This window comes from Homo sapiens, chromosome 6 (assembly GCF_000001405.40).
Source record: "Homo sapiens chromosome 6, GRCh38.p14 Primary Assembly".
Lineage (NCBI taxonomy): Eukaryota > Metazoa > Chordata > Mammalia > Primates > Hominidae > Homo > Homo sapiens.
Window position 1 is genome coordinate 109,333,343 of NC_000006.12, and position 25,602 is coordinate 109,358,944.

Below are 25,602 nucleotides of genomic sequence, written 5' to 3' on the forward strand. Positions count from 1 at the left end.
ATCTTTAGATTACTATATGCATTTTATTTTTACATATATTTACATAATTATTTTAGTTATATACATTTTATGATTATATTGTAGTAGAAAATATACTCATAATCTTAGTGCTCATTGATAACCATTATTATTATTATTATTATTTTTTTTTTTTAAGAGACAGGTCACCCAGGCTGGAGTGCAGTGGCCTGATCATACCTCACTGCAGCTTCAAACTCCTGGGCTCAAGTGCTCCTCCAACCTCAGCCTCCTGAAGCTAGGACTACAGGCACACACCACCATGCCCAGCTAGTTTTTGTATTTCTTTTTTGTAAAGATGGGGTCTCACTTTGTTGGCCAGGCTGATCTCAAACTCCTGGCCTCAAGCAATCCCTCCTTGGCCTCCCAAAGTGCTGGGATTACAGATGTGAGCCACAGCACCTAGCCTCCACTATTATTATTTTGACATATTTTCTTCCAAACTTTATTTATAACACTTTTCTACTCATGCACTTTGATATAGGTTGGCTGTGTCCCCACCCAAACCTCACCTTGAATTGTAACTCCCACAATTCCCACATGTTGTGGGAGGAACCCAGTGGGAGGTGATTGAATCATGGGGGTGGGTATTTACTGCACTGTTCTTACCATAGTGAATGAGGCTCACAAGATTTGATGGTTTTAAAAACAGGAGTTTCCCTGCAAAAGCTCTCTTTCTTTGCTGCCATCTGTGTAAGACGTGACTTGCTCCTCCTTGCCTTTCACCATGATTGTGAGGCCTCCCCAGCCATGTTGAACTATAAGTCCATTAAACCTCTTTCTTTTGTAAATTGCCCATTCTCAGGTATGTCTTTTTCAGCAGTGTGAAAATGGACTAATACACACTTTTTTTTTTTTTACAAAATAAGATTATTCTGCATGACCTTTTTTTATAGCATGCTTTTTTGTTCACTTGACAATATGTTATAAAGATCTTTCCTCATCAATAAACATATGTCCATTTATGGTGGCCATTCAGTATTTCGTCATGTCTATGAGCCAGATGGATTCAACTCATTTCCATTGTTAGGCATTTTAGGTCGTTTCCATTTTTCTTTTCTATTGGAAAAAATATAAAGACATATGTAAAATATGTAAAAATATAAAAACATACATAAACATCTGTTTACGTATGTTTTTGTGGATAACTTTTATTCCCTAAATTCCTAGAAGAGGAGCTACTAAGTCAAAAGTCACAAGCATGTAAAATCTTGTCATATATTCTGTCAGCTTGCCTCCAAAATAGATTCTGTCTCCTCTCCCCAGCTGCAGCGAGTGAGCCACTGTCCTTACTCTCCTCCATCAGGGCTCGTCTTACTGCTATTTGCCATCTCTGCTAGTTTGCCTCAATAACTTACCTTGGCCAAGCCCATGGTAGGCTTTCACTGGAGGTCAGTGGAGCACTGGGGTTGCAATGATAGGACAGTGCCCTGGGCCTTCCAGGACAAGCAAATCAGAGCCAGGAGGATCCCCTAGGCTCAAAGGACAGGCTGGCTTCAATGGTAGATGGCCAGGGAGCAGGAGCCGGCCTGACCCCAGAAGTGTCACAGATAAAACTCACGTTACAGTGTAGGCTGGGTCTTAGACTTGGCCCCATAAACTTTCTCACCCCCCATCCCTGCAGATAGATACACACACACACACACACACACACACACTCATTGATGCACAGAGGGACAAACACACTCGCATAGATATGCAGGTCCTAGTTAGGTAGGTCTGTCCTACCTTCCAAATATTGGCTCCCATTTCTCTCCAGAACCTAAATCTAAGCCTGCCTTGGAAGGTTGGGCTGTTCCTTAATTGCCACCTATTCAAAAAGTATGCTCAATCTCCTGGAGAAAGGGAATGAGTGGAATTGCCTAGAGAATGAGCTGTGTGGCCCTTAGACCAGAGCAAGAGAAGCCCCTGCCAGATACCCCATATACCAGAGGGCCCCTCTCTGGCCTTTCTCCAGCCATGACCTTCCCCACAAGGTAAGAAATCCCCTGGGCCACAGGGACATATCCACTCAGAGCCCTGGCCTTCATTTTAGACCATGCTCCAAGTACCTGGGACCTGGAATTCCCTGAGTCCCTGGCCTGAATGGGCCTCCTCCCTGGATCACCTTCCCCCGAGTGAGAGTGGACCTCATCACTAGTGTGCACACCCCTGGCCTGGAAGTGGCCAAGAGGCGACTGGGCGTGTGGATGGAGTTTGGACATGCAGGCTAGGATGTCCACTCACAGGCATGTGAAGACCTCACAGCATGACATGAGGCCAGAGCTGGGAAGAGAAGGGGGTCACACTGTAAACTACAGGTTGGGGACCAGCCTTCCCCAGGTCACCACACTACAGCATAGAACTGAGAGTAGTCGGCCGGGTGACTCTCACACCTGTAATCCCAGCACTTTGGGAGGCCGAGGCAGCTGGATCACCTGAGATCAGAAGTTTGAGACCAGCCCGGCCAACATGGTGAAACCCCATCTCTACTAAAAATACAAAAATTAGCCGGGTGTGGTGGTGCACCCTTGTAATCCCAGCTATTTGGGTGGCTGAGGTGGAAGAATTGCTTGAACTTGGGAGGTGAAGGCTGCAGTGAGCTGAGATCACACCACTGCACTCCAGCCTGGGCGACAGAGTGAGACCCCGTCTAAAAAAACCAAAAAAAACAAAAAAACTCAGAGTAGTCCAGGAATAATAAATTCAAATCTGGCTTTCCAGGTCATTTTTCAGGTCTGTTTTTCAAGGTAGGAGAATTAAACATTTCATTCTGATATTTTGTTAGTTTGATTTATAACCTTTCAATGTTTTGACATGCGCTATGTGGGCTTCCATTGTCCTCGTGTCCTTACAAATGTTCAAAGCTGACTTGAAAGAGAGGCTTGCAAGGCTAGAGCCCATGGTTGGATATAGAGGAGAAACAAAAGTGGGTCTGTGAGCCAAGGCAAAGAGTGCCTGGGGCCCTGGCATGATGAGGCTGCACTGCTGGAGTGGCTGTGAATAATGAATGCCTCTTTCCTTTCAGATCACTTTCAGGAAAGATCACCTTGAGGCCTGCCTCCTTTCCCTGGGTTGTGATGTGATGGCAAGAGAATGCAGCAACTTTGAGACCTACTCCATGTGCTATGAGCATGTGTTGCATCATGCTAGGCAGAGGCTCAGCCAGAAAGAGCAAGTAGGTTCCCAGAGAGAGAAGAACTGCAGTGGGGAATGGGCATGGGCAGGGAGGCTCAGGAGGCACTCAGAAGAGAAAAGTAAAACTGAGGGGGTTGGGATACATACAGTGGTTCTTATGCCAGAACTGAGGGTGAATGGTACCCTCAAATCTCTCTACTCATTGGCTCAATCATTCTCCTGGGCTCTGGTATTCTCAGTTGCACACTAGGTTATGTGCTTGGGAAGTGTCCAGTGGAGAATACGAAAGGTGAGCAACAAAGGGGCTGGCCCTGCAGGGGAAGGTACATAGCTGTCCTTTCCACCCTCAGCAAACACAAGGCACCGTGCGCTGTTCCTGGTCTGGGAAAGAAGCCAGGATCCTTGAGTAAACTCTCTCTTCAGGATGCATGTCATGGGTCAGTCTCACTGGGAGACTTCCTTAAAATATGAGCCTGCTGGTGGGATGGAAGAGTCAGTCCTCCTGCCCTGGGCTGCCCACTATTGTGAAGGTAGATTGCATCAGAGATTTAGTGTGATTTTAGTTTATACCTTAGAAAAGTTCAAAAGTCTAAACCACTAGCCAAAACACCAAATGAAGCATTGAAATGATGAACAACGAGCCTTGGAGCCACCCCTATTTTGGGCTATCCCCATTACTCAGTTCTTGGCATCAGTGTGGGTACCTGGAAGTCAATGTTGTCTTTTGAGGCTGTGTTAGGCATCCTGAAGTCCAGTGGGGCAACTCACACAGTCTCAGCTCCAGGCACAGCCTAAGGTTCTCAAAATGGGGCTCCATTAACACAAATAGGAGGTGTTTGGAATGTGTTGTACTGACCTGAGCCATGGTTGGAAGACTAAATGTTAGAGTTTGGTTGTGTACTGCTTTCTCCTGCCCAGGAATTAGATGCTACACAAAGAGGCCAGGGTCCACCTGAAGACAGTGCTGGCCAGGTAGGTCATTTCCTATTAAAAGGTTCTCTTCTCCATTTCTCACATCCACACTCTCAGGGCTAGCCAGCTATGGGATGCCTTAGAGTCATTTGCTTGTGTCACCTGTAGAAGTCCCGTCAGTGAAGGTCCACTGCAGGAACACCAAGGAGTGTGCTTTCACTTTTGGTGAGCAACCCTCCTTAGGGTGCATTTTTTTTTCTTGAGTTTTTTGGTCGCTTTTGTTATTTTGTACTGGTTTTGTTTTGTTCTGTTTTTGTTGTTACTTTGGGGAGTTTTGTTGTTGTTTCTTGTTTTCTTTTGATGCCAGTTAAGGTGCATTCCAGGCCAGACGCGGTGGCTCACGCCTGTAATCCCAGCACTTTGGGAGGCTGAGGTGGGTGGATCACCTGAGGTCGGAAGTTCCAGACCAACCTGACCAACATGGAGAAACCCCGTCTCTACTAAAAATACAAAATTAGCCAAGTGTGGTGGAGCATGCCTGTAATCCCAGGTACTCGGGAGGCTGAGGCAGGAGCATTGCCTGAACCCGGGAGGTGGAGGTTGCGGTGAGCCAAGATCGCTCCAGCCTGGGCAACAAGGGCAAAACTCTGTCTCAGACTAAATAAATAAATAAAATAAAATGCATTCCAAAAAAGAAAAGGGATGTTTGGGCTGAGGTGTCAAGGGGAGGCCAGTTTGGAAATGGAGGCCAAGACAGTTGAAGTATTTTTCTCTAACTGAAAAGGGCCTATGTAGTGGCTTTTCTGGGGTCACTTATTCACCAGTCAGTGTCTGGCACTGTTCTGGGACCTTTGAATTGTCCTTAAATTCTTCTGCCCACATTTATTTAGCAGAATGTTCACTCTCTTCATTAGGTTTAAAATAGAAGTGAAATTCAATACTGATCTATAAGAAACTATTTTGTAGTAGCAGTTTGAAACTCCTAAATTGTTTTTCTCACACACACACACACACACACACACACACACACACACACACACATTTTCTCATGCTTCTAGATTGCAGAGCTCAGTCATGATATGATCATGGAAATCACCACTCTGAGAGCCCAACTCACAGACTTGGAAGAAGTGAATCTGAATCTCAAGAAGCAGATTAGAAAAGAAGTCCAAGAAGAATATGAAGCATTAGTCCGAGCTTTGTTTGAGACCTGTTTACACATAAAAGTAAGTGTCCCGTGTTGAACATCTGGGCCACCCATTGGGTAGCCGAGTGTAACGGATTCCCATGGTGGCTGCACACCCAGGGATCGATGACAGAATAATGGGCTTTGTAGTAACAAGAGATTGTTAGGCCCAAGAATTTTCTAGCTCTAAGCTTTCACTGCAGAAAGAGAGTCAGCAATGGGTTGTCATTAACCACGATAGACACTGAATTTGGGGATAATATAGAAGTCTATCTTTTACCCTCTATTGACAGTTGCTATTGTCACTGTCTGATTGCTGTTGGGAGGACAGAGTGTTCTGCTCCCCACAGTCCCTCACCTCCCCAGTTTCTATCACCATTTTATCTGTTAGTGTGACTTTCCAGACTACAGTGCCTGGGCCAGGCCGGACCTTACGTAGGTAGCAGCAGGTGCCTCTGGAGAACTCCCTGGACACATTCAGAATTTGAATCAGCTTCCACATTTTTTTCCAACCCTCAAAATGCCTGCCAGCCTCACTCTCACATTCAATGTCAGCAAACTGCTGACCTGTCAGCAAAGACCCATTGCAGAAGTGATGGGGTACGCATGCACCCGCAGCACTGTGGAAGCCAATCGCTTTCATGTGATGTTTGCACAGCCATAAGATAGATGCCCCAAGCCTAAAATGGGCCATCAGGGAGACTGGTCCAGCTGACTCACCAGTGTGAATTTCAGTGCAACCTACCACCTGCAAGTCCACAGCTTCCCCCAACCCTGTCCCCTTCCCTGCTATTGGATACACCCCAAAGCCAGCCCCGTTTGGGTCCTTGAGTCTCTCCCCAGGGATTGCAGAATGGCCCTGAGGGTTGTTAGGTTAACAGGAGCTTCCACCAGTACTCACCTTGGCCTGGTCATTCCAGCGAGAATTTCCTCTTACTTGCAGTGTAAATGCTTACACATATTAAGGGATCGAACCCAAAATGTATTAGGTCTGGTGCTGCAGGAGAAGGATGGGCAGACAGTGACAGCTGGAATTTGCTAAGCCATCTTTCAGGTGTGAGATTGTTGAGAAATGTCTTAAGTTCCTTTTAGCTTCTGCCAGATTCCCAGTTAAAAAGTAGATTCTCTCTGTTTCCCAGGCTGAAGTAGTTCCACCAAGCCTCCTACAGTAGGGAATCCCTGTTATATTCCAGGGTCCCACGAAGTTGCTAAAGCTTGTGTTGTGTGGCCAGAGCCAGGCTTCCCTCCGTGGCTCCCAGCTGGGCACCCTCCTCCTGCCTTCCTCTCCAGGGAAGTGGTTTAGAAGTGAGAGGACACCCCTACCCTACCTCTCACCCCAGAGACACTGGGTGTCTTAGTCTGCTCAGGCTGCCATAACAAAATATGATAGGCTGCACAGCTTAAACAACAGAAAGTATATTTCTCACAGTTCTGGAAGCCAGAAGTCTGAGATCAGGGTGCCAGTGTGGTCTGCTTCTGGCTGAGGGCATGCTTCCTGGCTTGCAGGTGGCTGCCTTCTCACTGTCCTCACATGGGAGAGAGGGAGAAAAAGAAAGGTCTCTCTCTCTCCCTCTTCCTATAAGGCCACAGTCTATTGCAATAGAGCCTCACCCTTATATCCTCATTTTAATCTTAATTACCTCCTAAAGATCCTATCTCTAGATACTGTCACATTGCTGGTTAGGGTTTCAACATATGAATCTGAGGAAGACACAATTCAGTCCATAGCACTGGGTCTTCAGTCGTACTTACCATTGATCAGGCTGTTTCCTCACAAGCCATTTAGCCAGAAGCCATTCAGAACGGAATATTTCCTAATGGGGTTTCTGCTAGATCCTAAATAGGAAGGCAGCCAGCCTGACTCCCTCCTCCACTTTATCTATATTTAACAGAGCTCCTCAGGAGTGGCTCATCTACAGTGTCTTGTCTGCTCACATTCTACTGTGAGTCAACATAGCAGCAAAAATCTTTGGTTCAGCTTCCCAAGTAACTCTTACCAGGGGCAGTTTGGTCAGCAGGTTTTCTACCTGTGTGACCTTCCACTATCCTCCTGGCTCAGCTTGCCTTGGTGTTGACAAGGAAGGCACAATCTAAGATGTGCTGGTGTCCAGAAGATGAAGCCCTGTGAATAAAAGACAGCACTCAGGGGGCTGCTAAGTGTGACTTCCTTATAGTACATGTCAGAATAATTGTCTGAGGAGGTGATATCTTAATGTGAAATTACTTACAAAAGTTAAGTTGTAGAAGGCAAAATGGCTTTTCTTCAACTACCCTTCACACTACCCAAATCCATTTTACTTCCTTGACTTGATTCTGCAATTTGCAGGAGAAGCTGGATGATAATCAGCTTAATTTGATCCAGAAAGTGTGTGAGCTCATCGGTGAAGTGAGAACAGAAGGGATTGACAATATGAAGGACCTAAAGAAAAAATGGTGCTCTGCCAGCCCCGATGAAGGAATGAAAGAAAACCCAGCCAAAGTATGTGATTTCATTTAGCAATGGGATATCAGCGTTTCATCCTAGCATCTGACTCTACCATTCACCCTGTTAGCATTCCAGCCTGATTTCCCTGAGAAAGCATTGCATCAGGCATTTTAAAGGGGGCACAGGGACGCACTGCACAATTGTGTCATCTTCTGGAAGGCATGTTTCTGATGTTAGGGTTTGTGCCCTTCCTATGAAAATGTTGGGGGCAGCCTTTCCTGAAAATGAGCCTTCTTAGCAGGAACAGCTGTGGGCCTTGGAGCAGGACAACTGCAGCCTGGCCAACCTGGTGTGCAAAGTGAGGAGCCTGGGCCGCTGGAGGCTGGCTGTGCAGCAGGCGTGCTTCCAGGCCCAGCTGAGCAGGACAGAGAAGGTGAGCTCTGGTGGGGGAGACCCAGACAGTCCCCAGGATGGCTGATCCCAAGCCTCCATGGCTGCAGCTGCCATGGTGTCACTGTAGCTGTGAGTGGCACTGGTGTCAGGTGGTAGGGCCAACCATCCTGAAGGACCCGACGGTTGGCGATTTTTCCTGGGAACAGGCCATGTGAGAACTTCAGGAGAAACAGAAAGGGGGCAGAAGCAAAGGGGGCAACAAAAAACAGATCAGAGAATTCAGCATAAGGGAAGGAAGTGAAAAGATGGAGGAAAGGCTTCACCAAGGCCTTGAGGCTGCTTTGTCAAAATACCGCATATCTTTGGGTTTCATACATGAGTATCTGAGGAAAATGAAGTCACAAAATAATAAGTGAGAAATCTGCTTTAAGGTAAATTGAGTCCAAAGCTCATATTGATAGCTATTTGGAAACTTTCACATCCTGTTTCTGAAAGTATTTACTCTCATATGTTACCCTCTTCTGAATTAAAATCATGGAAGCAGGCTGGACATGGTGGCTCATGCCTGTAATCCCAGCACTTTGAGAGACCAAGGTGGGCAGATCACCTGAGGTCAGGAGTTTGAGAGCAGCCTGGCCAACATGATGAAGCCCAATCTCTACTAAAAATACAAAAAAATTAGCCGGGTGTGGTGGTGGGCACCTGTAGTCTCAGCTACTCAGGAGGCTGAGGCAGGAGAATTGCTTGAACCTGGGAGGTAGAGGTTGCAGTGAGCCAAGATTGTACCACTGTACTCCAGGCTGGGTTGACAGAGAAAGACTCCATCTCTAAATAAATAAATAATAAAATAAAATAAAATCATGGAAGCAGTGACTAGCAGGAGCTCCCTTCTACCGGAAGTTTGAAAGAAGAATGGATGGGAAAGTGGTTTAGATACTGCTTTTGAAACTAAACATCTGGAAAGGAAACCTATTTCCTATCTTACTGTGTTTGGGATATTTACAGGAATCTATTCAAAGTAAAAAAGAGTATTTGCGCATCAAGCTGATGGCAGAGCGAGAAGTGGGTTTATTTCGTCAGCAGGTCCTGGCTCTCAGGCAGGCCCTGGCCAGGGCACAGGCTGACAGCGCGAGGATGTGGAAGCAGCAGGACAGCCAGGTATCTGAACCTCAGAGCCTCTTCCTCATTCCCTTTGCAGTTAACTCTGCAAAGCTGAACGTGGCCACCACACTTGGTGCTGTGGCTGTCAGGAGCAGTCACCAGAGCACCACAGCCTGAAGCCACACAGATGGCACAGCCAGGAAAAGATAGCCTGGACTTGGGCTTCCCTTCTCCTCCCTCCTCTCCAGCCCAGAAACCAAGGGCGGTGGCCAAAAGGCTATTGTTCTTACTCATGTGGCTGAGAAAATATTACTCCTAAGCAAGATCATTATCACATACGTGTGTGTGTGTGTGTGTGTGTGTGTCCATTTCTCTGAGGATCTTTTTGCTAGAGGCTGTCCTGGGATCCTGGGATCTAGGCCTCTGCCTTGAACACAGGCTTTCATGGGGCAAGCACGCTTCCAGTTGACAACAATCCTTGGCAAGTAGAGTGTGGTCCAGCCTTGTAGTATTATCCCCCATGCGAGACTGTATCCTTTCCCAGTGATCCATACTGTGTCTCACTTTCAGAAGTTACTGCTGCGCGATAGGGGCCGGCACCAAAATAAAGGCATTCTAAGCCTAAGCATTTCCTTACTGTGCCAACCCTCTGGGCATGAATGAAGCAGGGGGACTCTAGGTTTAGAGTGAGAACAGCTGAGTTAAAGTAACAGCCTGGGAAAGCTAGGCGTATTTAAAGCATGAAATTTAATTTGTTCATCTTGGACCCTAATTCCTCCATGATTCTGCATCAGATGAGTTAACTATGTAAAGTACATTATAAACTGTAAAGTCATCATACAGATATGAATAATAATTAAGTATTGACCATCTAGTACTTAGGATAATACTTATTAGAAAAACTTTGGAACAGAACGAAATTATTTCTACCCTTATCCTTCTTTAACTATCTAGAGTCTGACTTCCCCAGATTTTTGGAAGGGAAAACAGAGCCTAAATCAGAACCTCCTTTCTTCGCCCATTGTGTGTATGGCATGGCCCCATCTCCTTGGTGTTAAACGCTTCCACGGCTACCTCCTGACAAAGGCTCCACGACAATGTAAATGTTGTTTGTGCTAGATATGATTATCTGGTTAGTAAGCTAACATACATATTATCAAATCTGGGTATTAAAAGACCAAATTATTTGCCCTGGCACTGCTGTACAGTGGCGTGATCGCATGCCTGGCTTTTGGTGTCTGTTCTGCTTCCCTCTGACTGTCACTGCAGGGCTCACAGTGTAAACGCCAGGCTAGGCTAGATCCTGGTGCTCTGGCTAGCACAGGACAGAATCATTGGGCCGCATTTTCTAGAGCCCAGGAATACACCATGTAGTTGTGTCCCTGAGCCCCAAAGGAGGGGATGGTTATTATGCTTTCCAACCTCTTCCCCCCTTCTGCTGGGAAGAAAGGCTCCCTGCCTTCTCCTTTCTTTTGGCGTTTTCCTGCCACAGGCTCAACTGCTGAAGGAGTTAGAACATAGAGTGACCCAGGAAGCTCTCACCCAGCAGCAGCTGCATTTTATGAAAACATCCAGGATGGAGAAGCTCTTGGAAGATGTGGGGCAAAAAGAACAGCAACTGCAGCTCCTTAGCAAAGAGGCTGAGAGGGCTTCTAAGCTGGGCCAACTGCAGCAGAAAAAAATGAAGAGGGACCTCCACCAGGTAAACCTCAGTAAGAGGGAGTGTCCAACCAGAGTGCACCTGGTGCCCCAGCGAGGGCTGCTGCATCCTTCCCCTGCGTGCCCATGCCTCTCTCCTGTCCCCCACAACAGTATTTCTCAACCTCTGTCACTTATAGGCAGCCCAGGAGAATGGTAGCAACTCTCCCCACAGTGTCTCCCCACACCACAGGGATTGCTGGGCAGGCCATGGTGGCTTGGCTGCCTCAGGGCTCAGAATCTCAGCACCCCTGTAACCTACTGGAAAAACCTGTTTCTACCCAGCTCTCATCTTTGAACTAGGAATCTTTTAGAAAATTCCAAGCAGTAACCTGGAAAAGCAGCAAGTGTTAATGGAGGCTATGACAAGAAGATTTTATTCAAGTGTTTCAGGAACTGCAGAGACAAAAATGAAAGGCAAAAGTGGTTTGCAGATCCAATGTATTTTGTTAACTACACCTAACAACAAAGAAATAGAAGAGAATAATACTAGAATGTAGATGTGGATTAATACAAGTTTCAACAAAGCAGAAAACAATGTAATTCAATAAAAAAGGAAAAAGTAATTTCCAAAGCAGGCACCTCACACATATCCATTGAATGAGCAAATCACTGAACTCATTCATCAGAGATAGAAGGAGATGGAAATTGAAAGACAAATTATTGGTCAAGTGTTTCTTTTTTTTTTTTCTTTTTTTGAGACAGAGTCTCACTCTGTCACCCAGACTGGAGTGCAGTGGCGTAATCTTGGCTCACTGCAACCTCCACCTCCCAGATTCAAGTGATTCTCCCACCTCAGCCTCCTTTGTAGCTGGGGCTACAGGCATGAGCCACTATGCCCAGCTAATTTTTGTATTTTTAGTAGAGACGGGGTTTTACCACGTTGGCCAGGCTGGTCTCGAACTCCTGATCTCAGGTGATCCGCCTGCCTTGGCCTCCCAAAGTGCTGGGATTACAGGCGTGAGCCACCGCACCCGGCCCCTGGTCAATTAAGTGCTCAAGGAAGAGATCAATAAGGAGAATTCTATCTACAAAAATGACAAAAAAAGATTAAAATTTGAATTGAGTTAAAGAAAATATATAGAAATGGGGGGAGAAAATGAGTAGCTTTAGAATAAAAATTAGAATTTCATATTTATTGCCTGAAAAGTAAACAAAAATATGACTCAACCTATAAGAAAACTTTGGCATCCCAATTTTGTGTTACAAATCATGCTTTTCTAAAAGCCACCACAAAAACAGGGAAGTTCGTAGATTCATTTCTTCAAGGTTTTCTCTAGTTAATTATTTGTTTCATGGCAGATATTCTAGAGGTGGTCAAAACAAATATTTTGAGGTTTCTCTCAACAAATGTGCACTTTACCATATGTACGTATAAGCCATTGGCCCTTTGTAGAGTACACCTCCAGCTCTCCTGACAGCTCAAGTGTCCCTGCGCCTACCTACTCTAAACAGCAATCCTCAGCCAGCAAGACCCGAGCCCCCCACCCTCACCCCCCGGCCCCTTCCAGCCAGAAGTGGCTTCTTTAATCTATCTCCGGCCTCTGACTCCATGGGCAGATAATTCACTGTCTGACCTCGGAGAGCCTCAGTGTCCTAACCTGCTGCCTGCGCCTGGTTGAGGTCACTTATAGTAGGGGTTTCCAACCCCCAGGCTGTGGACCGGCAGGGGTCCATAGCCTGTGAAACTGGGCTGCACAGCAGAAGATGAGCAGTTGGCAGCATAACTGCCTGAGCTCCGCCTCTTGTCAGACCAACGGAGGCCTTTGATTCTCATAGGAGCACAAACCCTATTGTGAACTGCACATGTGAGGGATCTAGGTTGCCTGCTCCTTATGAGAATCTAGCTAGTGCCTGATGATCTGAGGTAGAACAGCTTCATCCTGAAACCATTTGTCCCCACCCGGTGGAAAAACTGTCTTCCATGAAACCGGTACCTGGTGCCAAAAAGGTTGGGGACCAGTGATTTAGAGCACAGGCCCTGGAGTGGAACTGAGTGGTTCATACCGCTGGCCCTCCAGCGGTGTGGCTTTGGGCAAGGTCTGTGGCTTCTCTATGCTTTGATTTCTTCATCATTACAATGGAAACAATGTACTCACTTCACTGAATTTGGGGGATGATTAAATTAGGGAATTAGGTAATTTAAATAAAGCCCTTAAAACCAGGCCTAAAACAGGCATGCCTGTAGTCCCAGCTACTTGGGAGGCTGAGGCAGGAGGATCGCTTGAGCCCAGGAGTTCAAGCCTGCAGTAAACTAAGATTATGCCACTATACTCCAGCCTGGGTGAAAGAGTAAGACCCTGTCTCTAAAAAATAAAATTAAAAAATAAAAAGTAAAAAATTAACAAAAATAAACAGGCCAGGCACGGTGGCTCACTCCTATAATGCCAGCACTTTGGGAGGCCAAGGTGGGAGGATTGCTTGGGCAACATGGTGAAACCCTGTTTCTACAAAAAATACAAAAATTAGCCAGGGATGGTGGTGTGCATCTGTGGTCCCAGCTACTCAGAGGGCTGAGGTGGGAGGACCACTTGAACCTGGTTGCAGTGAGCCAAGATTGTGCCAATGCACTCCAGCCTGCATGACAGAGACTTTGTCTCAAAACAAACAACAGCAAAATCACGGTGTGATACATAGCTCTCAGTAAATGTTGGCTGTTTATATTTTTGTTGGGAATGTGAAGGTAGACAGCCTTGGAAACAGGTAGGTAGACCTGGACTCAAATCCTGGCTGTGTGGCCTTGGGCAAGTCACTTCACCAGCCTCTGTGACATTGGGGTGAGTGACCTAACACAAGGAGGTCCTGAGGAAGCACGCTTCCTTGCTGGTGTTTCTTAGGTTTCCTAGTGCCAGCCTGGCTCAGGAAATCTTGATATGTTTCCTTGGCACCAGCCCGTAGGGAATGAGGATCCTACACAAATCCCTACAGTATGGAGAGGGGCTTTGGACCTACTTTATATTAGGAAGTTTTCCTAACTCTGGAGCTCTGGTAATCTTCTGAAATTTAAACTATGCTTGGGGGCCCCCCGACATAAGGAAGAGCCCACTTTAACATTTAGGGCAATACTATGCAGGGGCCTTCTGGCTGGGTCTGTATAGGCGGAGTGGGATGTACAATACACATGGCTGAATGCTTGAGATTAGCACGTGTATTCATTTCCTAGAGTTACCTTAATAAATTATCACAAACTGGGTGGCTTAATAGAATAAAAACGTATTCCTTCACAGCTCGGGAGGCCAGAAGCCTGAAACTAATGTGCTGGCAAGGCTGGTTCCTTTTGGAGGCTCTGAGGAAGAATCTGTTCCATGTCTCTTCTTAGTCACATTTTGGTCTCTGGCATTCCTCGGCTTGTAGTTACCTCACTCCAATCCTGCCTCTGTCATCATGGAGCCTTCTTCCTATGTGCTCCTCTGAGTTTCTGTATCCTTATCCTATCTTCTTTGTAAGGACAACAGTCATTAGATTCAGGGCTCACCTAAATCCAGTATGACCTCATCCTAACAAGTCCATCTACGAAGACCCTATTTCCAAATAAGGTCACATTCTGAGGTTCCAGGTAGACATGAAATTTGGGGGGTACTCTTCAAACCACTATAGTATATATTACTTTTCTACAAGTAAAAACAATTAGGAGATTATAAATTGAAAAAGCAAAACCACCTGTCATCTGTGCAGATGAGATACACTTTGGACCTGGGCACTGCCTGGCTGGGGAGTGTGGGCTAGCCGTGCACGGGGAGAGCCATATAAGTCAATACAAAGGTTGCTTCTGGAGATGGGCTTGTCAGAACAGGGCATTCCCGGCAGATGCTGAGCTGAGAGCAGAGATTTAGGAGATAGATAAGTCTTTCCTCTGTTTGAAACTGTCCAGGGGCTCTGACAGGTCCTCACTGTAGATGCAGTGGCTAGGCCTCCAAGGCCCTGTGTGCACTGGGCCCTCCCTCCCCTCTTCCTCTACTTATCTGATGAAATAAACATGAAAGATATAACCTTGTGAATAAGTTCCTAGCTATTATAAGGTATAAGGGATTCCACGGACTGTTCCTTTTTGGTTAAGTTCTTGGTCTTCCTGAAGTTCTTGATTCTCAGAAGGCTGAGTTCAGCCTAATCAGGACTTTAAGAGCCAGTTCTCTTTGCAGGGTAGCCTGGGACACCCATTCTCCCTAGGAACCCCCTGTGAACTGAGGAAATGAAAGTGAGCACAAAGAATCTCTGCTTCTCATTTTCCCCTCAGATGAGAAGCCGGCTTGCCCAGGAGCGCAGTGTGAAGCTGGATGCTCTCCAGCGTGCAGAGGAGCTGCAGGGTCAGCTTCACGATGCCCAGCGGTCAGCTGTCCCCATGGGCTCGTCAGGCGGTAAGGATAACCCCTGCTCTGGCTAGAAAACCCTCCCAGTCTCTGGGGTCTGAACTGAGGAGGGTCTCAGAGACTCAGGGGGGACCGAATCAGTAACTATCCAGTGGTTATTGAGTGGGTCCTCCACAATGTTTGTTGAATGACACATAAACGGATAAACCTTAATTCTGATTTACAGTCAAAACTTCCTACTTTAGTACCTTGGAGTACTGACATCCAACACTAAAAGGTTTCAGTCATAAAAAACTGGTCTTGGCTGGACACGGTGGCTCACGCCTGTAATCCCAGCACTTTGGGAGGCCGAGGTGGGCGGATCACGAGGTCAGGAGATTGGGACTATCCTGGCCAATATGGTGAAACCCCGTCTCTACTAAAGATACAAAAATTAGCTGGGTGTGGTGACACACACCTGTAATTCCAGCTACTCAGGAGGCTGAGGCAGGAGAATTGCTTGAACCTGGGAGTTGGAGGTTGCAGTGAGCTGAGATGGTGCCATTGCACTCCAGCCTGATGACAGAGCGAGACTCTGTCACACACACACACACACACACACACACACACACACACACACAAAAAAAAAAAAAAAAAAACTGGTCCCAGAACCAGTTCATTGGATTTTGAGACATCTTAATGCTTGGGGGTTTGGGGTGTCCTTGAAAATAATCAAAATAGCTCTCTGAGCAGTGCAGGCAGCATGGAGCTGAGACCAGACCCCAGGATGTCTCTAAACCAGCTTCCTCCTCTATAAGATGAGGACTAAATACATTCTAAGTTCTCTTCTAGATCTATTAGAAATATCACCAAATATCACTAACCATGATTGGCCTGTTGTTATGATTGGCCATGTCTCTTCTTTCCTGTTCTGTACATAGCCTGATAGTTGAGTATATGGGCTTTGGAGTGAAACAGCCAGAATTCAGGCTCTGGCTCTGTCACTGCTAGCCACATGACCTTAGACAGACCTTAATTAGCCTCTCCGTAAAATGGGAATACTCACCTCAAAGGCTTGCTCTGAGATTAAATGAAATAATTCCTGTCTTGACACCTTAGTATAGTGGCACTTAGTAATTGTGCAAGTGTTGGTTACTATACTTGCATACATGTGTTTAGCCCTTTATCTGTGTTTCCTTTTGGCTACCTTCCAGCGTGAATGAGCTGAGCAAACAGCCTTTCAGGAGCACAGAGTCACAGATGAAATTACTTTGGGTTTACTAAGAGCAGAGCTGGACTTGGCAGTAAAGCTCACAGGGCCCTCCTTCCTGCTTCTGGGTTGCTGCCTGGACCTGACATTGGGAGCTGGTGTCCCCTGCCCCAGCTACTGGTTATTGCTGCTGCCCCAGCCCCAACATAAAGGGCATCAAGAGCACACAAGGGCCCTACTTTGGCACCTGACCCTATGCAGTTCGGTACCTTACACTGTCTTCTCCATGTGCCAGGGGATTTTTTCCTTCTCTCCCTTTCACCTCTGCCTGCAGCTTAGCCAAGCATCTTTCTAATCCCTTCCTGGGATAATGCGTCCTAGTGAACTGCCATCCACATCCTCCAACACCTGCCTATTGTGAAGGAGAACCAGAATGAGGCACGAGGCAGGTGGGGGAGACCCTAATTCCCAGGATTGGGGTGGGAGCAGGAGTGGGAAGCAAACTTCTTTCCCAGGAAGTAGAGGTAGACGTTACTCCCGGGCCTCAGCCCTCTTCTGTTTCCCTGTGCAGGGAGAGGAGGGGTTTGAGGGCACAGTCAGCTATCACCATACTGTTAATGCTAAGCAGTAAAAGTCAGCCATATTCCCACTCCTCCTTCCTCCGCTGTTGCCCAACTGGAGTCTCAAAGTGACCCAGGGGTCTTCTGCAGCAGCAGCCATGGCAGCATTCCTGCCTCCCATGTTGGAAGCATAGGTGCACTCAAAGGGCGAGCTCTCTTTCCTTGCCATTAACGTGATTCCCCTAGGATTTTGCAACTCCTGAGAAATGAAGATTTTTTTCTAAATCAATTATTTTAGACATGCTTAAGAAAAAATGAAATCACTTGGCTCATAAAACTGTAAAATGTTGAGAGGAGGCCTGGCTAAAGGTAGCTTCATCAAGGTTTGACCTAGTTCATGAGGACTGCTTTCACTCTCTCCATCTCTGGCTCTGAGGAGGCTGGGAGCAGAAAGGAAGCAAGGCTCTTTGGAAGCAAGATGGCAGCCACCTCCGTAGCTTCCGTCTCTGTTCATGCTCAGCATGGCAGGAGCAGGGTATGGAGATGGGACAGTCAAAAAGAATTGGGCTCTGCCTGGACTGACTTGGGTCATGTTGCCAATTTTGAACAAATTAGTGGAGCCACAGACTAAGATGTCTGGTTGGCTTAGGCCCAGCTTACCTGCTTCTCCACTGGAGCTGAGGGTTGGGTCAGCTCGCTGTCTCCTCCTCTCTGCAGCAACTGTTTTAAATCTGCCTTGTCTCCTCAGATCTTCATACGCTCCCCCCAACACCTCATCCTTTCATCTCCCACTTCACAGAGAAATTAGAAACCCTCAGACAGGAATGCCATCTTCTCCCTGTCTCCCAGCCTACCTACATCTGTACTCTGCTGCTTCTCCTTCCCTCCTGTGAACATGGAAAGGATGTCCCTTTTCTTCCCCAGGGCAATCCCTATGTAAAGGGCCCATCTGCTGCTACCTTCTCAGGGGCCTTGAACTAGCTGCTTCTTTTCTACATACTTGGATTTCCCATCCATGCATCCCTCTAATCTTGCAACCAACAATTACTTATTGATCATGTATGTGCCAGGATCATAAAATCCACTGTAAAATAGCTCCCCCCGCCCCCACTGCCTTGACAACATATTCCTTCCCCTGCTGCTGGTCTTTCTCTTCCCAGTCAGACTTCTTAAAAGAGCTGCCTATACTCACTTTCGTGATTCACCTCACTTAATTTCTCTCAGGTTTTGCCATTCTCAACTTGTGGCTTCCAAATGTTCCTCACTACCTCATGGTCCAATATGATGCTTACGCTTTCTGGCCAATAGGAAGGAGGAAGGCAACAAAAAGGGCCCACCCCTCCCTTGAAGCTTGAAGAATGCTTCCTGGAAGTCACTTGTGACACTTCTGCGTACATTCCATTGGCCAGCACTTAGCCCCAAGACCACACAAAGGAGACTGTGAAATGTAGTTTTTATTCTAGGATGCCGTGAACAAAAAATGTGAGGTCTATTTCTAAGAAGAGAGGAGAGATTTGCAATTGGGGGCCAAGAATAGGTCTCTGCACCACCACCAGCAATCTGATTTTTCTTACCACCATTTCATTGCAGTTGCTCTTGCCAAGATCACCTTCACTTCTGTCTCCAAGTCCAAAGGACACTGAGTTCTCACTGATTTCATGTCTCAGCAGCATTTGAAACAGCTGACCACACCCTTCTCCTAATTATTCTCCTGGCACTGCTCCTTGTGGTTTTCCTCTTCCTCTGGCTGCTTTTTCTATCTCCTCCTTTTCTAGTTCCTCCTACTGTATCCAACCTCTAAACACTGAAGTTGTTCAGGGATCTTTCTGGCCCCTTCTTCTCTCACCTCACATTGTCTCCAAATAATTGCATATTTCCCACAGCTTTAATCATTGTTTGCTAAGTCTACATCTGCAGCTCAAAACTCTCCTCTGAGCTGTAGACCCCTATATCCAGTGACCCATATGTCCAGTGAATAATGTCTACGTTCACGTGTCTCAGGCTCACAAGTTCAACAGGAATGGAACCCGTCTTCCTATCCTTCTCCCTTCCTACTTTTGGGGTGGGGGAGATGCTCTTTCAGCAAATGGTAGTGCCAAATATCCAGTTGCTTAAGCCAGAAATTTGGGAGCTATTCTTTGTCACCCTGCAAATCTGGTTAATTCTCAACTCCTACTAATTTAAGTAGCTCTCAGTCTATCCGCTTCTACCTACCACAGTCCAAGTCTCTTGTCACCTCCTTCACTTTTACTTGGTCATGCGACTATTGGGCAAAAAACTCTCTCCAAGTTTTGACACATTTGCTCAAAATTGATGAAGCTGAAAAATAAGCTGAGTTAGATGCCAATTTTAAGCCCTAAATTTTATGAATTAAATCTAGATACAGGAATTTGAGGTTATAGTGAGCTACGATCGTGCCACTGCACTCCAGCCTGGGCAACAGAGTGAGGCCCCCACTCTCAAAAAAATAAAAAATCAAAATAATCTAGGTTTATCCATTGCAACCAGAGATATAATTTAACATTTTTAACTTTATAGACCTTATATCCCAGGCTCAATACTCCCCAACTTCTGCTTCCACATCATCCAGATACTCCCAGCAACGCTTTTTAAAGACTAATCTCAAAGGCAGTAAAATAACAAGATGGATTCAAAGGCCACAGACTGTAAGTAATAATAAGATTGATTACATGCATTAAACAATAAAGCCTTACAATTTGATTTCATGGTTTTTGGGTCACTTCAGACTTACATTAGAAAAATTATATATCAGGAGCTTATGTAGATGCCTTGAATCTGGATAAGAAAATTCTGATGTTGAAATAATCCTATAACAGCACCTTCTAAATTACAAGTCAATAAATGGGTGTGGAATCAGTACCAACACCTTGCTGTGTTCCATCTCTGAATTTCTTTTTTCCCCCAATCATCTTCAACAATTAACTAGCAGCATCAGACTCCTTATCTGAGTTCCCCAACAGAGCAGAAATAAGTTTCGGAAGTCATTTTAAAACACGTGAGAAATCTACCCTCCAAGAAAATTCCTGGGATGCAGATTAGCATGTATTTGAAGAACTCGTAAAATGTTTCAGTTTTTAGTTTATGTAAAACAACATATACTTCCTCTTCCACTGCCTCCTCTCTACTGCTTTAATAAGTATTTTACTCTTTGCTGCATTTTCTTTCAGAATCCCTTCTAGAGATTCACATATCTAATCAACACATTTAGGAATTCCTGGCTGGGCACGGTGGCTCACACCTGTAATCCCAGCACTTTGGGAGGCCGAGGCAGGCAGATCACCTGAGGCCAGAAGTTTGAGACCAGCCTGGCCAACATGGTGAAACACTGTCTCTATGAAAAATACAAAAATTAGCTGGGCATAGTGGCGGGCGCCTGTAATCCCAGCTACTCGGGAGGCTGAGGAAGGAGAATCGCTTGAACCTGGGAGGCAGAGGTTGCAGTGAGCTGAGATTGCGCCATTGCACTCCAGCCTGGGCAACAAGAGTGAGACTTCATCTCAAAAAAAAAAAAAAAAATTATTTCCCATTACCTGATGAAAAATTAAGAGGAAAATATTTAATCATTCCTTCAGAGAAAAGTATGCCATTCCAAGTCATTCGATGGTGTAATTCCGCAGCTGATGGTCTAGTTATAAGGATCAAAAGTTTCAAGATTTCTAAACATGCAGTTAAGAAGGGGGAAAGACAGGTTGGGAAGATACCCAAACACCATCTTGACCAAGTGAGGGCCACATTACTAATGTCCACCATTTGCTTGACTCACCAATCTCTGTGCAGTCATCTTTCTTGAAAATGTGAAATTGTATTATATGTCTATGTTTCCGCAAAAGCCCTTTTCAAAAAGAAGCAAAGTTCACTTTGTATGTGTGGGATCACAAGGGCTTTCAAGAATCACTTCATCTCCATTTCACCCTGAAAGCTGCAATACCATGGGGGTGTTGGTGATCGTGACTTGTTGAAAAGGCTGCTAAGCAGATAAGTGCATTAGTGAAGATTTATTATATTTGAGAGATTCAAAAGGGTGATAGGCTAAAGCTAATTGATGAACATTGCCCTACCAAATAAATAAACCCTACAGTGAAGTGTCTTGTGGGCCCATTGGCCCAGTGGCTATGTACAATACGGGAACCCCAAGCAAAAAACCTCAAGGCCAGGGAAGGTACACAGTTAGCTGGAACTTCAGATCTCAGGTCTGACTTCTTAAGCAAGGCCTATGAGACAAGTCAGATAAATACTCATTGAAGAGGAATTTATACATGGCTGAAATGTAAGAACACAGTTAATTTTCTAAAAATTAGCCCTGCACTAACACAAATGATAAAAAATTAAGGAATTTTTAGATTACTTGAAGTATGAGCTGTGTTTTCTTCCTTAACTGGAAATGGCTTTCCACTGATGGATTCATTCTTGACCAATTCCCTTTAGGACAATGGCAAAATACAGACAAGAAGGCATACTATATGGCCTAACCCAGACTGAATCAATGATCTTGGTCTCATTAATAACAGTGACTTTTTATGATGCTATAACAAGAATTATTCACCATGTTCTTAACACCAATATCTACTTATATTACAGGTACCTATTAAACACAAAAAAAGAACTGACGATGTTTTCCTACCCAATATGGCAGAAAATGTTCAACTGACAGCTTTTCAGGTTCAAACAGCTCCATCCAGATTCCCATTTAGAGCTGACTGGTGATGATATCTTCTTTTTCCAACCTTTATTTCTATGAGTATTTGAATGAATAAAAATGACTCCAAATGCCATTAAATCTCTTACTTAATTTTATGTATGAAATTCTCTTATCTGTACTTGGAAGACAGGGTTGAAGGACTAAGATGATTACATCTTGAACCAACCCCAGGTGAAGTAGGGGTTGGTCCCAGACTTTAAAACCTAAGCATTGATTTGCATTTCTACAAGCTAGCCTTTGCCTCTGGTCAGCCAGCAGCCTCTGAATACGAATTCTAGAGTTAGTGGGTAAGCAGGAAAGCTAAGATGGAGGCCCTTGCTTCTAAGCAGTGTTTACTAACAAGTGAAAAACCAAAGTATGTTAATAGAGATTAACACAAATGAACGTTAAAGCATTTGTTTCACTTCTTAGAAAACAAATTTGCCATCCTCTATTAACAATCTTTTCATTCTTCCTACAAATGCCAAATACTTCCTCAGACTTTAGTATAAAGTCCTAATCCAAGTCCTTTGTTCAGACAAGAAAATCTGTCTTGTGTAAAGCAATTAATAAACAGATGAATGGAACAGACAAACATATTTACATGCATAAATTTAAATACGATGTATGTGGCTTTTCAAACTAAAGAGAACATGGAGGCTATTTGGAATAAATTAAATCATCACCTTACCCCATACACTATAAATCCCAAATGGATTAAAGATCTAAATGCACATACGTACACATGCATACAGACACACATGCCACACATGCACAAACTGATTTTTTAAACAGAATATAAAAGCCAATAGGAAAATTGGTAACTTTGGTATCAGAACTAAAACTTCAGTATGATAAAATACTGTATCAGTTATCAACTTATATCTCAGCTCCAAATTCATTCTTTATTGTCTGTTCTGCAATAACAAATATGGACCCTATAAATATTTCCTCTTTGCCAACTGGCAAGAAGTTAAGCTCTCAGTAGAGGGTGCTGGAGGGACCCTGTAGGAGGTGGCAGGGTTTTTTTCCAGGTTACCTTGTGCTCCTCTAGGCAGGCTCTTGCAGTGTGCATGGCTTCTGCAGCACCAGGTTCTTGTAGTATATACAGTTTCTGTGGTGCCTGGCTCCAGTGATGCATGTAGCTCCATGGTAGAGTGCCACTTGCATGGCACCTCCTGTGACGGGTCCCCTCCAGCACCCCTTTGAATAGCTTTGCAGTCTCTGTGAATTTCTCAGCCATCCAATAAGCTTTGGCCAGATCCTCTCCAATGAGGTCTGGATCTCAGCCCTGAAGGGTAGTGGCTGGTCCCTACATCCGCTATCCTTGTATTCTTTAGAGTTCTCTTTATTGCTTACAAGCAGTATGCCAATCTTTTGTTATAGTTAATAATTCTTTATATCAAACTTTCCCTGTTTGAATTACTGTGTGCTTTCTGTCTCCTGAATGGCCCATGACTGATATAGAACTGGTACCAGGAGCAGGGTGTTCCCAGAGGATAGACCTGCTATGGTTTGAATGTCTGTCCTCTCCAAAACTCATGTTAAAATTTAATCCCCAATGTGGCAGTACTGAAAGGTGAGACCTTTAAGAGGTGATTGGGTCATGAGGACTCTGCCCTTATGAATGGATCGATCCATTCATGGATTAATGGATCGATCCATTCATGGATTAATGGATTTGTGGGTTGTTAAATTAATGGACTATCATGGGAGTGGGACTGGTGGCTTTATAAGAAAGGAAGACTTGGGTAGCATGCTCAGCTCCCTCACCATGTGATACCCTGTGCTGCCTCAGGTCTCTATGGAGGGTCCCCACCAGCAAGAAGGCTCTTACCAGATGTGCCTCCTCAACCTTAGACTTCCCAGCCTCCATAACTTTAAGAAATAAATTCCTTTTCTTCCCAAATTTCCCCATTTCAGGTATTATGTTATAAACAACAGAAAATGTACTGAAACAGAACACAGATGGAACTTGGGATTTGGTTGGTTGCAACCTTAGGCTTGAATACAGTGCTGAGCCAACAGGAAATTGGAATGTTAGTATTCTTTGCATGCAGTGGCATCACAATCACGTTATTACCTGTGGCCGATTGTGCTAAAGTACCTGCTGAAGCATGTGCCTTTAGGAGCCTAAATTGCTACTACATTGACTATAATGGTAGTCATGCTGACTACAGAAACTGTGGTGTGAGGTGGATTTTTTTGAATGCACTTCAGCACTTCTGGAAGAAAATGACAAGTCATGACCTTTAATTCTAGGCTTAATTCATCGTCTGAAACCAGAGAGCTTCCATGATACCCCTAAAAGTATCTCTTATTTCTCATAGTCACAGGGATAATATTGCTAAAAATCAAGCACAAGTTTTTATTAGGGGCATGCTAAATTACAGTGACAGTTGTATTTATAAGCTCATCAAGCTTCTCATTGCCATTGAGATGGGCCCTGTGATTTCAATGAAGAAAATGCAATTCCAAAGTGGAAGAGCGAAGTGGCAGGCTTTAACTGGCAAAAGACAAGGCGGGCACATCCATTATAAAGGGCAATAGGGATGTATCAGTAGTCAGAATCCCTTGGCCTGCAGAGATCTTTGGTAGTTAATGTGTCCCCAGGTATGAAATCATAGATTGCTTAATGTATATAACAGAAATTGCTTAATGTATATAAGATTGCTTACTGTATATAACAGAAAATTGCTTAATGTATGGAACAGAAAAATCTATAGGTCTAGTAGCCAAAACTTGAGTCACCACAGTGAAGAGTCACAGCCTCTGACCCAGGTTCCAGATTTAAGTCAATTCACAGACCAGAGGCCCTTGACCAAACGGGAGGATGGATCTCCTTGAGGAAGGACCCTTCACTGCTGCAGGTTCATGTTATAAATCTTCTTCCAAATCGTTCCCTAAGGGACCTGCAATCATTTTCTTAAATTACTGTTCTTCAGAGAAAAGAAAATATCCAGACATTTTGGTGGTTACTAGACCCAGGGCCTAAATTAATGCTAATTCTTGGGTACCCAAAACACCACTGTGGCTTACCAGTCAAAATGAAGGCTTACAGTGGTAAGGTGATATAGAAGGAGTCATAGCTCAGGTCTGAATTACAATGGACCAAATTGGTACATGGACCCACCCTGTGACTACGTCCCCAGTTTCTGAGTGAATAATTAATTAGAACAAATACAGTTAACAATATGAAGAATTTCCATATTGGTTTTTTGACATATGAGCTAAGAATCAATTATGGTAGGAAGGGATTACTGGAAGCCCCTGGAACTTGCCCTCCCTATCAAAAAAGCAAAACAGAAGCAATACCATAACCCTGGGGAAATGGCCCTGGGCATTAATGCCACCATCAAAGACTTGAAAGAAGCAAGAGTGATGACAACCATCCCTTCATCATTTAACTCACCACTCTGGCCTGTGCAGAAGACAGATCTTAGAAAATAACTAGGGAGTATCAGTTCCACATCTTAATGAGGTGGTGATTTCAACTGCAGCTGCTGTCACAGACTTAGTATCTTTACTGAAACAAATTAATATGCTCCTGGGACTTGACATGCAGTTATTTCCTTAAAGCCTTTTGCACCATGAGAGGCAGTTTGCTTTTACCTGGCAAAGCCACAGTATATCTTTACAGTCTTGCCTGAAAGCTTTGTCAGTTCTCCTTCTCTCTGCCACGATATAGTCCACAGAGACCTTGTTCATCATGATAATCCACACAATATCACATTGGTCCACTACACTGATGACATTATGCTGACTAGAAATAATGAGCAGGATGTGGCAAGTACTTAGGTGCTTAATAAAACATATAAAAACTAAAAGGTGAAAGAAAAATCCCATAATTCAGAAACTCAGTGAAGTTTCTAGGGGTTCAATGATTTGGAACAAATTAAAATATCCCCCTCCAAAATGAAAGATAAGTTGCTGCACTTCACACTGTGCACCATGATTAAAGAGACATGATGCTTGGTAGGTCATTTTGAATTTTGAA

At 44.8% G+C, this 25,602-nt stretch overlaps 1 pseudogene across 1 annotated transcript in view; it reads left to right on the forward strand.

Moving 5' to 3' along the window:
• The window catches only part of CCDC162P (coiled-coil domain containing 162, pseudogene), a 189,118-nt pseudogene extending 167,512 nt beyond the window's left edge, over window positions 1-21,606 (forward strand). Inside the window, exons 37-46 of the transcript NR_152435.1 lie at window positions 3,026-3,175; window positions 4,054-4,107; window positions 5,106-5,273; window positions 7,560-7,712; window positions 7,960-8,091; window positions 9,057-9,209; window positions 10,645-10,854; window positions 15,085-15,205; window positions 19,445-19,572; window positions 21,506-21,606. The product of NR_152435.1 is annotated as a coiled-coil domain containing 162, pseudogene (transcript). The remainder of the gene's footprint in view (window positions 1-3,025; window positions 3,176-4,053; window positions 4,108-5,105; window positions 5,274-7,559; window positions 7,713-7,959; window positions 8,092-9,056; window positions 9,210-10,644; window positions 10,855-15,084; window positions 15,206-19,444; window positions 19,573-21,505) is intronic.
• The last annotated feature ends 3,996 nt before the right edge of the window (window positions 21,607-25,602 follow it).